Below are 13,119 nucleotides of genomic sequence, written 5' to 3' on the forward strand. Positions count from 1 at the left end.
GTGAGAATTTTTTACTGTGAGAAGAGTGAAGCTCAGGAAGCTCATCTTCTCTAAGGCCATTTTCTAAGTGAAAGGATTTAGGGGTGAAACGAGGGCTTCTGGGAGGATTAAAGATTGGAATCATTGTTCAATAGAGTGCCAAAGAGAACCACTAGAGATAAGTAGAATGGTTACAAGTAGTGAGAATTTGATGACAAATATATAATGTGCATCTGTAAAGGAATCAACATTACATACACACCCTGTCATCCTGGAGAAAGACTAGAGAAAGAACACTGTAGATGTCATAGAGACGGGGAAAATCAGAGTTGCAGAATACCAGATGACACAGCTATGATGTAGAAAAATTGAATATATCTTTGGAATCACCTAATACTGGTACCAACACATAGTAGAGAAGTACAAGGTAGGCACTCAATAGATGATTGCTCTTATCTTGTTAGTGCTACTATTTAAGGAATTATACAAATGAAAGAATCAAGGTTAGACTTTATGATGGAGAGAAGTGGGGCAGTAGCATGCTGAAGCTCATCATTAAAAAGTTGTTGTAACCCTACTATGCCCTAAGTTTCCAAATATGCTTTAATTTTATCATCTGCAAAATAGAGACGGTATTAGTACCTATCTCCTAGGTTTATCGTGATAATTAAATAAAGTTCATTTTAGTCCTGGAGAAAAAAGATATTTCAAGAGTGATTAAAAACTGAAATTTAAGACAAAGTATTTAAAACTGTTTAGCTCAGAGTAGGCATGATACAAGTATTAGCTTAAGAAAGTATAGAACAATAATGTGACAGTGAAGTGCTGAGAATCTCTAGATCCAGAAGCTCATTCCTTATTTTTGATGATTGAGCAAAACCCTGGAAACCAAACTTCTCAATCCAGTGGGCATTAACAGTTTTCCTTCCCCTAAAATAACTGAAAAATAAGATGGGTGATCATCTATAACAGTGGTTTCATAAGGCAGAAGTTCTTAATTGCTCACATAAGATGGTGGTCTGAGTCTTCTGTAGCTATTTCTTATCTATGTAGAATAAACTTTGAACTTCTAAACTTGGAATTCAAGGTCCACTACATTCTGTCCCTCTCTTCTTTTGTAAAATTTTACTCCAACCAAACAGATCTGTTTATACTTTTCCCAATAACCCAAGGCAAACTCTATCTTTAAGCCTTTGTTTTTCTTACTGTGTTCAGAATTCCTTTCTCCTGACTTGTTAGCCATCATTGCCTCTGCAAATGCTCTACTCAAGCCCTCCCTAAGAACTCTTTATCTTCATTAACCTTTAGAAATACCTTTCCTCCCTGAATATTTGTCAAACTTATAATCTGTACCCTTGCAGACTGCCCAGTATGTACCATGTCCTTAAAATTGTATATTGTCACTGAAATTATGAAGATATACAGCTTGGTAGTTTAACAGTAGATGTTGAAAGGATGAGAGTAGATATTGAAGGGAACCCACCCTTCTGCACATGAATGAGCATCAAACAAGACAGATAAGAAAAAAGAAAAGAACAAGTGGAAGTAAATTAGTTTTCCAGGGTGACAGCCAAAGACTTGCCAATAATGTGAGCAGAGATGGTCAGATGTTAAAATAGCTTTGCTCCATATCGTATGAAATAAATCTGACACCCAAAATTATCTCCAAGACTCAAGAGGGGCTTTGAAAGCCAGTTGCTCAGAATTAGCCAGACAAATCTTTTATAGACCCTGAAGCACTAAAATGAATGTGGGGAATGCCATAACAATTTGAAACAAAACAATGCTAAGCTGTAAACTACAAAACATGCATGTATAATAAAATTAGATAAGCTTATTTTTAGAATTTTTTTTAGAACTTCTATTTTTGTTTCCATTGATCTGCTAATGACCCAAGCCTATTTATTGTTTGTCCTTTGGCACTGGCCCTGCGGAGAAGCTGAGTACACTGTGCAGCAGAATTGCACAATGAGTCATCAGAAACCTGTGTTTACACACACACTCAGAAAGTGCAAGCAAGTTAGCACTATTGTCTATTAATATTTAGGAGAAGACACATTCTAATTTTAGTGTTTGGTTGGAATGAGGATCACAGACTCAAAAGCCTTCGGGGAAAGTTGTATGCATGAATGCAGTGGGAGGACAGTAGGTATATAACACAAGGACTGCGTAAGGATGCAATAAGTATCAAGGATTCCAGGGAACATTGGCCAGAGCTGCCTGCTAGCAGCTGCTGCTACTTAGCTTTGGTTGATTTTTGCTGTTTCTGAATATAGACTTAGTGCAACCAGATCTTCCAAGTTTTCAGGAGAAGCTGGGCACCCTGACTTTTTAATGGGAAATTTATAGATTTTAAAAGTTGACTCAAATTCTTCTAATATATTACAGTTCAAGCAGAACAGATGTGTTATGGCCTACAAACCGCCATTTTGCAATTTTGCTTTGGATTCATATCATGATCCTCTTCAATGTCACTTCAACTCCACAACCACAGAAAAAAAAACTTAACCTATAAGATGTTTAAAATTACCATTATACTTTCTATAATACATTTCCATGTGTCTGAAAAAATATTTGTCTAAAAATAATAGGAAAGTCTTTGAAACGATATGTGAAAACCACAAGGCCAGGGGCCAGAGTTATTAAGGGGAAATGTAGATTACATAATAGTCTTGCCCCTGTTTTATTCAGTGCATGCCCTCTGGGCTGAAAATATTCCTAGAGCAATAATCTAGATGTTATCATCCGGCCTTTGTATCAGCAGAGATTTTGAAAGGTACTGTATTTTTAGAACTCTTTCACTGAGGCTGCTATTACCACCATTAATCTATTAGTCTCTGGCTTTGCCAGGAAGGCACTTGAAAACAGTCTCTGACCAGCAACACCTTGATAAAATATAAATGGGAGAAATGGCTGGTCCTTTGGGAAACAGGTTATACATTTGAAAGACTTCTGCAACGTGCGTTGCTCAACAAAAATCGCAAGTAGTACCCCACCTCCATCTTCATCCTGCATTTTCAGTAATAGATTTCAAAGGAAATTTAGTTCTTATTTTTTTCATTATAAGAATAACTTTGAGCTATTGTGTGCCCGTTCAACCTTGGAGGACGTTTTCCTAATGCCCACAAGTCATGTTACTCTTTAGCAGTTAACATAACTCAAAAGTTGGAAAGGGTAAAATATGCTCTCAACTTAGAAGTTGACAACCAGAGTAAGTTCTGAATGCTTCACACAGTAAACGTTTTCTTGTTCCTCTAAAAAGAGGAGAATGCAGCAGAAGCCTCAGTTCCTACAGTGAAGCAGGTTTATAATAGCTATTACCTTCAGAAGGGCAGGGAAAAAAAGGAAAAGGGAAGGGGCCCAAACAGACAAAACAAACAAAAAAAATGCTAAGGGCAATAGATATGAAAGGATAAAGAGGGAGAAAATGACAAAAGGAGAGCAGTTTCTTGGTCTTCTCTTCCCATCTGTCTTTTTCCCTTTTTCATTGTTATGCGCTTAGGATGTTGCATTTTCTCTTCAAAGCTTCACAACAGGACCCAAGTGCTTTGATCAAAGTGTGCTTTGCCCTCAAGTACAAGACTCTTTACACGGCACTTAAAGTGACTAAATTTTGAAATGTAGCATGGTTTTTCCTCTCATATTTTTAGCCAGTGAATTCTTGGCATCTTTAGAATTGAAAAACAAAGTGAAGAAGTTTAATGTCAGCTGAACAAAAGCAGATTTTTGAGAATCACAGAAAATTGCCCCTGTGATGCACGTTTTTTTTTTCTCTGCAGTTCTGAGCACACCTGTTGGTTCTCTTTGTGAAAATGTCTCCTGTTTTACTTTATCACCAGCTCCAAAGTCCATCTCTACCTAACTCAATAAAGTTGTTCTCTGGCACTGGCAGAGTGCTCTCCAAGAGTCCTACTCTGAAACCCCTTCCACTTTCTCTTCTAGTTTTTCATGAATAAATAGCTGACTTTCTGCTGCATAAGAGGGGAGAATGGTTCAGATACAGTTATTCGTCTAAACTCAGAATGGCTTAAAATAATGAGAGTTTGAAACAGACAGCTCTCAGAGTGATTTTAAAACAAAGGAAGATGACAGATTAAATGAACAATTCGGTCTCAAAATGTTCTTGAAATAGGTTAATGTACACTTTCTAAAATATCTATAGTGTCCTTTTTAGTATATGAATACTTTAATACTGTTATTTTAGCAACTTACTTGCTGTCAGTTTTCAACACGTATCATTTAGATGACCATTTAAAAAGCATAGAAGCCAATTTCAGCTTTCACTTTCCAAGCCACTTGTCAGAGCAGTTCACTGAGCTTTGCTAGGCAGAAGAAAAGTTCTTCTTACTTCATTTAAAGTAAAGGGAAAAAGTGTTTACATTTGATTGTAAAATGCCAATTGGATGCTGTTTTGGAAGTTGTAGCTACCTGGCTGTAATCACTCTCGTTTTTAGTCATGTAGAGGGAAAGATGTGTACAGAGTTCAAATAACTGATTCAGGATGAATCCCTGGGTTTAAATGATTCTCCTGCCTCAGGCTCCCAAGTAGCTGAGATTACAGGCACCCACCACCACACCCAGCTAATTTTTGCATTTTTAGTAGAGACGGGGCTTCCCCAGGCTGGTCTGTTGGCCAGGCTGGTCTCAGGCTCCTGACAATTTCTTATGATTGGAAAAAGCAGACATAGACGACGTATTTACTGCAAGAGACAACAGGGATGTAGATTCTTTATTTCACCAGTTGAGACAGAAAGAGAGAGCATCTCAACTGGGAAGGCAAATTCTGAGACAAAGAAGTGTTAAGAAAACTGCTGTTTGAGCCACAAAATATCTGATGGACAGAGGACATGTCTCGTGGCTTGTACCTATGGCCAAAATTAATAGTATTTTGATCCCAAACTGTACTGAATACCTAGAAATTTATTTTAGCATTAAGAAAGATAAAAAATGAGGCTTATGTTTACACTTGATTATGAAGAATTACATAAAATTGCTCAGGCTAGTTTAGTTACTAGCCATAAAATTAAATATATTGATAACTGAAAGTAGTTCAAAACTGAAAGGTAGTATATATAAGCATAATGGTATGCTTGAGGGTAGATTTTTAATTCTGACATGTTTATTTCGATAAAAAATTATTTAATTTAAAAAATAAAGATGATTTGAAAATGTGAGCTAAACATCTTATGAACCACACATATAGAGTAATGTAGTATTATTGTTGTTGTTTTTCTTTTTTGTTTGTTTGTTTTGTTTTTTCAAACAGAGTTTTGCCCTTGTCACCCAGGCTGGAATACAATAGCATGATCTCAGCTCACTGCAACCTCTGCCTCCCGGGTTCAAGTGATTCTCCTGCCTCAGCCTCCCGGGTAGCTGGGATTACAGGCGCCTGCCACCATGTCCAGCTAATTTTTCTATTTTTAGAAGAGATGGGGTTTTACCATGTTGGCCAGGCTGGTCTCAAACTCCTGAAATCAGGTGATCCACCGCCTCGGCCTCCCAAAGTGCTGGGATTACAGGCATGAGCCACCGTGCCTAGCCAATGTAGTATTATTCTAACAGTTGTAGTTGGAATATCTGAGTTCCGTGCCAGCCTATTCCTTTTACTAGTTATTATCCACTATTTCTGCAGGATTATGTCTAGCTTGAACCTAAATAGTTAGGTCAGAGCCAATAGACTCCAGCCTGGGGGTTATATTAATAGTTTTTGTTGCCTCTGACAGGAAGGAGAATTGACACGTGCTTCCAGGAGTGGACTTTTTCTTTAGGAAAATTTTGCAGGCAACAACTAGCCACTAAGACTCATATCAGTTAATGTTCCAAACCTGGGCTGCAAGGAGTACAGGGATAGCCAGCTAGTGTGAAGTTGAAATATTAAAACAAAAGAGCCGTGAGGGAGGAAAATAAGGTATGTATTAAGCTGACAAAGCAGGTACATTAACAATATTTCTAGTCAAAGTCACATGTAATAGCAGTCCTAACCCTTCCAAATATTCACTGAAGGATCTTAGAGAAGTGACTCAATAACCAGGCTAGACTTCTTTAAAAATGTCTGTTTAAAACCTAAGGAGCTCCACATAAATATTCTGAAACAGGGGGTTGGCAAACTTTCTCTGTAAAGGACCAGATAGTAAATATTTTAGGCAATGCAGTCCACATAGCTCTTCTTGCAACTACTCAGTTCTGCCATTGGTGTGGAAAAGCAGTCTAGACAATATGTAAACTGAGGATGGCTGTGTTCCGGTGAAACTTTATGGACACTGAAATTTAGATTTTATATAATTTCCACATGAAACAAAATATTATCCTTAAATTTTAATTCTTTTTTCAATCGTTTAAAAATGTAAACCTATTCTTACGGGCTATATAAAAAGAGATAGTGGGCCAGGTGTAGCCCAGGGGCCAAACTTTGCTGACCTCTGTCCTAAAGCTATAGGTTAGTAAAAACAGCTTTGTTATAAATGTCATGCTAATAATGAGAATATCATGCTAATATGAGAGTAACAAAATGTGTAAAATGTATTATACGAAGGGCTTTGAAGTACACTATTTCATCCTTACAGCAATGTCATAAGTTGGTATATTAGGCCATTGTGGATTACTATAAAGAAATACCTGAGAATGGGTAATTTATTTTAAAAAAGAGGCTTAATTGGCTGATGGTTCTGCAAGCTGTACAGGAAGCATCTGTTTCTGGGGAAGCCTCAGGGAGCTTACAATCATGGCAGAAAGTGAAGTGGGAATAGGCATTTCACATGGCAAAAGCAGGAGCAAAGAAGTGGGTAAGTGCCACACACTTTTAAATGACCAGATCTTGAGAGAGCTCACTGTCACGAAGACAGTACCAATCTATAAGCGACCCACCCCCATGATTCAAACATCTCCCACCAGGACCCATCTCCAGCATCAGATAATACAATTCATCATGAGATTTGGGTGGGGACAAATATCCAAACTATATCAGTTGGTATGGTGGACTGATCCCATAATGTCCCCAGATCATCAGCTCTCCCTGTAGCTATGCCCTTCACCAGGACTTTGTAGCTTCTTTGAACAAGATGTTGGAGTAAATTATCTTGCCCCATATTCTAAATTGAGCCATGTTATTTGCTGGGCCAATGGTACGTCAGCAATTGTGACAGAAGCAGTGTCTTGGAAAATGATTGTCAAAATCCTGGTTGTGATATTGTACTACAGTTTTGCAAGTTGTTCCCATGGGGGGAATTAGATAAAGGGTACATATATGTCTCTGTCTGATTTCTTAAAGCTGCACATAAAGCTACAATTATCTCAAAATTAAAACTTTACTTAAAAATAAGTGGAAAGTATGGGAAGTATGTTTAGAATTAATTTTGATTAAAATTATGTTAAATGTATAGATTAATTTGGGTTGTTCTGATATGTTTACAGTATAGATCTTTCCATCTGGGAGCATGTCTTTGTGTGTGTGTGTGTGTGTGTGTGTGTGTGTGCACACCACACTTCGGAAGGTCCTTTAACAAATCTTAGTAATTTTTAAAACAAATTAAAAATTTTATTATTCCTTACTTTTCCTTCATTGCTGTGCTTCTTATTCTAAAAGTTTCAAAATAGAATGTCTATCTATATAAAATAGGTTTAAAATAGTGGATTTCCATACTTCAAGTCCTTTTCTATGATATTATCTTACTTACTATCAAAAGAAATCTTCTCAAAGTTCTGATTGGTCATAGCCTTTAGTGAAACAAGGCTCTCGTAGTTCATGGCTGCAGATCAGCACACAAAGAAAACCCCACCTAAAAATTAATGTTCTAAGTTTTTTTGAAGTCTAGTCACGTGATTGTTATTTATTCTATAAAAATTTGTTCTCAAAAACTAAAAAGGCACTGAATTAGGTTTGGTATTTTAAAAATTTACTGTTTTGTCTTCTGTGACTTTTAAACAGATAGCATTTTCTCTGAGTCTCAGGATTCTTGTCTGTTAAACAGAAGATAGATTATATGTGTTCTTTCATCTCTGTTTCCTAGATTGCTGAGTGCTTTACATTAGCACGATCTTGTAATAAAACTTTATCCAGCTAATATAGTATTGTACTTACATGCTACAGTAAAGTGTTTTATATTATTATTTATTAGGGCTTTCTCAATAAGTGAAGATATCATTGACTATTAAGCCCTTTTCAAAAGCTCTTTGGCATTCTTATACCCAGGGTATTTTATGCTATAAGTTTATGTGAAGAAGGAGCACAAGTTTTGGAGCAGACCAATATGATTCAAACTGTGGCCATAAAATATGATCAAACATTTACCACAATATTAAATCACTGGAAATAGTTCAATTCACCAATATGTAATGATCTTGGAAGGTATTCTGTGATTACAGCCATGATGTATATTATTTTCTTATATTTATAATTCTGGTTGTTAAAAATGTCTTTAGGGAACATTTAATACTTCTGTGATTATAGAAAAAATCATTAAACGTTGCCTTTTTTATTATGATCTTGGGTAGAAAGAGTGTTGCTTTAAAGAAAGGCAGCTAAACCTAAATGTAAATAAATGGCAGCTGTTGCAGAGAGGGTTGAAAGAAATAACTGCATGGGAAGCCCTAATTACAAGGTAGAACTAAAAGGTTAAATCTTTATAAGGTTTCCCATTTTAATATGTGAACAGACAATGTTCTTTTTTAAAAAAGATACTACTTCATGTCTCTACTCTTTCTTCACCTAATATGTCATCTTTTATGCAACATGTAAAGTGCCATGCATGTTATTTAATTGGCACATCTATGAGACATTACTACTGCTTTCCCCATTTGGCAGGTGGGGATCCAAAACATGGAGAGGTTAGGTAAATTGTATACAGATAATATTCAATAAAGCTAGCATGTAGATCCAAATGATCTGACTCCAGGTACTGTGCCCTTCATTACTTTCCAAACTCCATGCTAAGGAAAGGTCCATCTCTCTTATCACCAGCCTCCTGCTCACTGCTCTTCAGCCTCAATTTGCACCTTGTCATTCTTCAAAGTCCTCAGAATCTATGCAATTGTTCCTTCTGGTAGGAACACATTTCCACTATCTGCACTTAGATTTATGCTCATTTGTCAGCTTCTCAAAGAGGACTTTCTTGATTAAGTTGGCGTTCCTTAACACATCCTTCTTTTGCTTAATTTTTCCCCATAGCTCTTCTTACCCTGACTTTATATTAGTCACCACGTATTTATTTTCAGTTTCTTTCACTGGAGAATAAGCGCCTGTTTTTCTACAGCTGTATTCCTGACACTTGAGTGAATGAATGAATGAATGAGATAAAGGCTGATTATTGAAATGAATTCAGTATTACTTGAAAAGTACAATTATAAACAGTCCCTAAAGAATAAAATTCCTTAGCTGACATCTAGAAGAAGCCCTAAAAACTCTGGACACCTATATTTTATTTTAAAATCTCATGCCACATTTAACTGACATGATTAACTCCAAACATCCATTTAACTTCTCACATCATGGTTCATCCTTTGGTTCATTGTCTCTCTCCCTTTTTCTCTCTCTCCCTCTCTCTCTCTTTTTTTTTTCTTTAATCACACATCACTAGATGGTGAAGGACAGGAGAGTACCCAGGAAGGAAGGCTTATAAAGAATTTGTGATTTTAGTTGATCTCTTAACACTTGACAGAGAAAGAAATCTGCACCTAAAATGTGACATGATTTTTTTTAACATATCAGATGAGATTGGATGCGTTCAGGGTGGTATGGCCATATACATTTTTTAACATATCAGGCTGTAACTTCCAAGTAGTGTTTTCATCTCAAAATCAACCTACTGGCAGGTGGTGCACTGACTTCAATGACCATCATTGTCTAAACATGTTTCTTGCAACTTTTTATAATTATCTTAAGAGCTTGTGAAAATTTAACATAACATTAATACATTTAACAGTGAATGTGTTTTATCTCTTTGAGAGTAGACTTGGTTTAGGAAATAGCCTGAAATCATTTAAAGCCCACTGTAGAGAACATGGTATGAACAAAGCAGAGCTTATACATTCTTCATCAAAAATGTGTTGGGACTGAAACATAATGAGACTCTCCTTTTCACTGATGGCTCATAAAGTGGCTCTGGAAGAACTTTCAAAATTGGGTTGTGAGTGTCATAGTATAACAAGAGCCATGCTATTGAATGGAACAACACTCATTTTGATATTTATATTATGATATATTTTATGTTTAAAAAGTATCAATCCATGTTTATAGTTAACATACAGAGTTTAGAATAAAACATTTCTTCTCTAGTCTCCACATATCCTTTAATTTCAAATGTCTCTGATTCTGCATATGGATACCTTTTTAGTTGCTCTCTATAAAGTCATGTTCACTAGGTAAGTGAGTAAACTTTATTTTGCCCGGTGGATATGTTTCTGACATGTTGTATGGCTATCCAATTTTAAGAGTCAGAGTTAAAAATTTTCAGATGCAGAAAAGAATTTGGAAACAAAATCTCCCACCTCTCTTCCAATCCACTGATAATTTTATTCTTTCTGAAAGAAGGGAAGTTAGGTGACACAAGCTCTTGTCCCCATTGGGTACGTATGTATATATACTAGCTGTATGTTTCAGACAAGATAACAGAGCCTTAGTTCCTGGTAGTGACAATGTGTATGTAGGCCTACTCACTACAATTCCTTCCATCCTAGCTATTCTTTTATTCAGCTCATTAGTGGGAGCTTGCTATTTCAAAGAACCTTATTGTAAAATATTGTATACAGTGAATATCTATACTTAATCCATTCTTTTAAGGAAAATCTAGTAAATCTGCAAAAAACATGGAATACCAGCATTTATTTTCATTACAGGTATGCTGAATTTATTAGCTGCAGGGTTTTTTCATTTGTTTATTCTTGCTGAATGACATGTAATAAATCCTAACTTGTATTCTAAAAGGTAGAAATGTCAAAATACTAACAATGGGTAACTATGAGAGGATTTGTTCTAAAGTGAACTGGATTATTTTTTCTTTCCAAATCTCCACAGAATAGCTCTGATTTCTTAGTAATAAAGTTTTTGTCATGTTTTAGTGAGAAATATTTTATTTTATGATATTAAAAAAGAACTCCCAGACTAGGAAAACCAGTTTTAAACAGATGGAGTGAAAACCCTAATTTTTGCAACCTTGTTTTTAAATAGGAATATGTGGGCTGGTTACTAAATACAAAAACATGACTTCAACCTACTCGCTATTTCAAATTGTTAGCAATTTTCAATCAACATCCTCAGACTGAAGAAAAAACAAACAAACAAATAAACAAAATAACCTCTCCTAAGACAGAAAAGGTCTACATGAATTTGCCATGCAGACTTACCCCCCATGTTAAGAGTCTTTGTTTAAATAGTTCCCTGCAACCTTATTTAATAATACACTCTTCATTTGTGGTTATGTTTAATCATATTTAAAATACTAGGAGCTGTTAGCTATGGCCAAGAAAAGTCTCCAATCTCAATCTGAGTTTCTGTTATTTTTGCAAGTATTGAGACAATGGTCATACATAGCCTTTATTGCTGCCTTGAGATAGGTCTTATCAGGAAGTCCACGAATCAAGTATTTTTACTTGCACACTTCATGCTGAATCCAACTGGATTTGCATCTCTACAGCAACTGTTTGCTGAAATGCTAGTCTTCATACAGCCCTAGTGAAGAAGATTTGAGGTGCAGATTTCTTTCTCTGTCAAGTGTAAGAGATCAACTAAAATCACAAATTCTTTATAAGCCTTCCTTCCTGGGTACTCTCATGTCCTTCACCATCTAGTGATGTGTGATTAAAAAAAAAAAAAAAAAAAAAAAAGAGAGAGAGAGGGAGAGAGAGAAAAAGGGAGAGAGACAATGAACCAAAGGATGAACCATGATGTGAGAAGTTAAATGGATATTTGGAGTTATCTGAGACTTAATCCACGTGCACAGTGGTAGTGGCGTGCTCACAGGTGTTTAAAAACCAGCTCTATTTTTAAAAAATCTACATATGTATATCCATTTATACATATGCAGGTTTACTATGACTTTTACTGATATAAAGGTTGTATAACACACAATTTAAAAATAATAACAATATATACAATACTCTGTTGTAAGTTTCATATAGTCCATTAATTCTCACATAATTCTTCAGTTGAATTTTGCTGAACCTGGTATCTATAGCCAAAATGGTTGCAATTCATGAATTAGTGTAGTTCTGACCTGATTGTTGGTTGATATTTTCACTTATGATAATGAATAAGATGAAAGTGAAGCAATTGTGGTAGGTGTAGAAACCTCACTTGTTTGTCTTCGACATGAGTGACTCCTTTGTTGAGTTAGATAATAGTTTGTGAATACTAGAAGAATATTTCCTCATTTTTTGTGCTAATCACAACATAACCACTACAGGCTCTACACACTTTTATTTGTAATTTGCCTTATTAGCATTTTCTCTATCATTTTCTTAAATTTAGATTATCTACAAAACAATAAATCAAATCCTGAGGTGCGGTGCTTGCAGATTTCTGAGGTATAGATACTAACGCTACGACTCATTTCAAGCTACCAGCTTCTGATGCTGCAGAATGTGAAACTGAGAAGAGATGCACAGCAGCACATCATTGTGTGGCATTTCTACCATTCAGAAAATAGTTGCAAATAACCTCAAGAGCATAGATGATAGTAAAATTCAGTAAACTAATATTTGTAAGTATATAGAAGTTAATTTTTAATATTGGCTGGCATTTTAAAATGACTTTAATTTTAATAATAGTTTTAAATGATTTTTAACAACTTCATTACAAAATTCCTAAAGATTTAAAAATCAGCTATTGTGGGTCAGCCATGCTGGTAGCAGAATGCCACTACATATGTGGAAAGACATCTGAAATCAGAAAAGAAGACACAAATTTTTATTTTTACCCCAATATCTACATAAGTGAAAGATACTAAAAGATGCAGACACTAAGATTCTTCTTCCAGTCACATTGCAGTCTATTTTGTCCCTCAGGTCACTTCCTCTGATCAGCAGTCTTATATTACTTGATGTCAACGTTCAATACGGAAGGTGAGAAAAATTGTGTAATACATGCATGGTTATGCTTGGATTAACCATTTGGTTGCCTTAGCCATTCTTTCTTACTGGCCAAATACA

The 13,119-nt window shown here is 35.7% G+C and overlaps 1 protein-coding gene across 7 annotated transcripts in view, besides 1 other annotated feature; it reads right to left on the reverse strand.

Annotated features, from left to right (window-relative positions):
* KCNH7 (potassium voltage-gated channel subfamily H member 7) overlaps positions 1-13,119 on the reverse strand; it is a 467,361-nt gene that overhangs the window by 337,121 nt on the left and 117,121 nt on the right. The window lies entirely within an intron of this gene.
* Positions 3,074-3,595: an enhancer, noted in NCBI's record as "OCT4-NANOG hESC enhancer chr2:163568111-163568632 (GRCh37/hg19 assembly coordinates)". NCBI's record gives its function as "activates a minimal SCP1, AML or CMV promoter by ChIP-STARR-seq in naive H9 embryonic stem cells {active_cell/tissue: H9 hESC(naive)}" and the evidence as "EXISTENCE:reporter gene assay evidence [ECO:0000049][PMID:30033119]".

This window comes from Homo sapiens, chromosome 2 (genome assembly GCF_000001405.40).
Source record: "Homo sapiens chromosome 2, GRCh38.p14 Primary Assembly".
Taxonomy (NCBI): domain Eukaryota; kingdom Metazoa; phylum Chordata; class Mammalia; order Primates; family Hominidae; genus Homo; species Homo sapiens.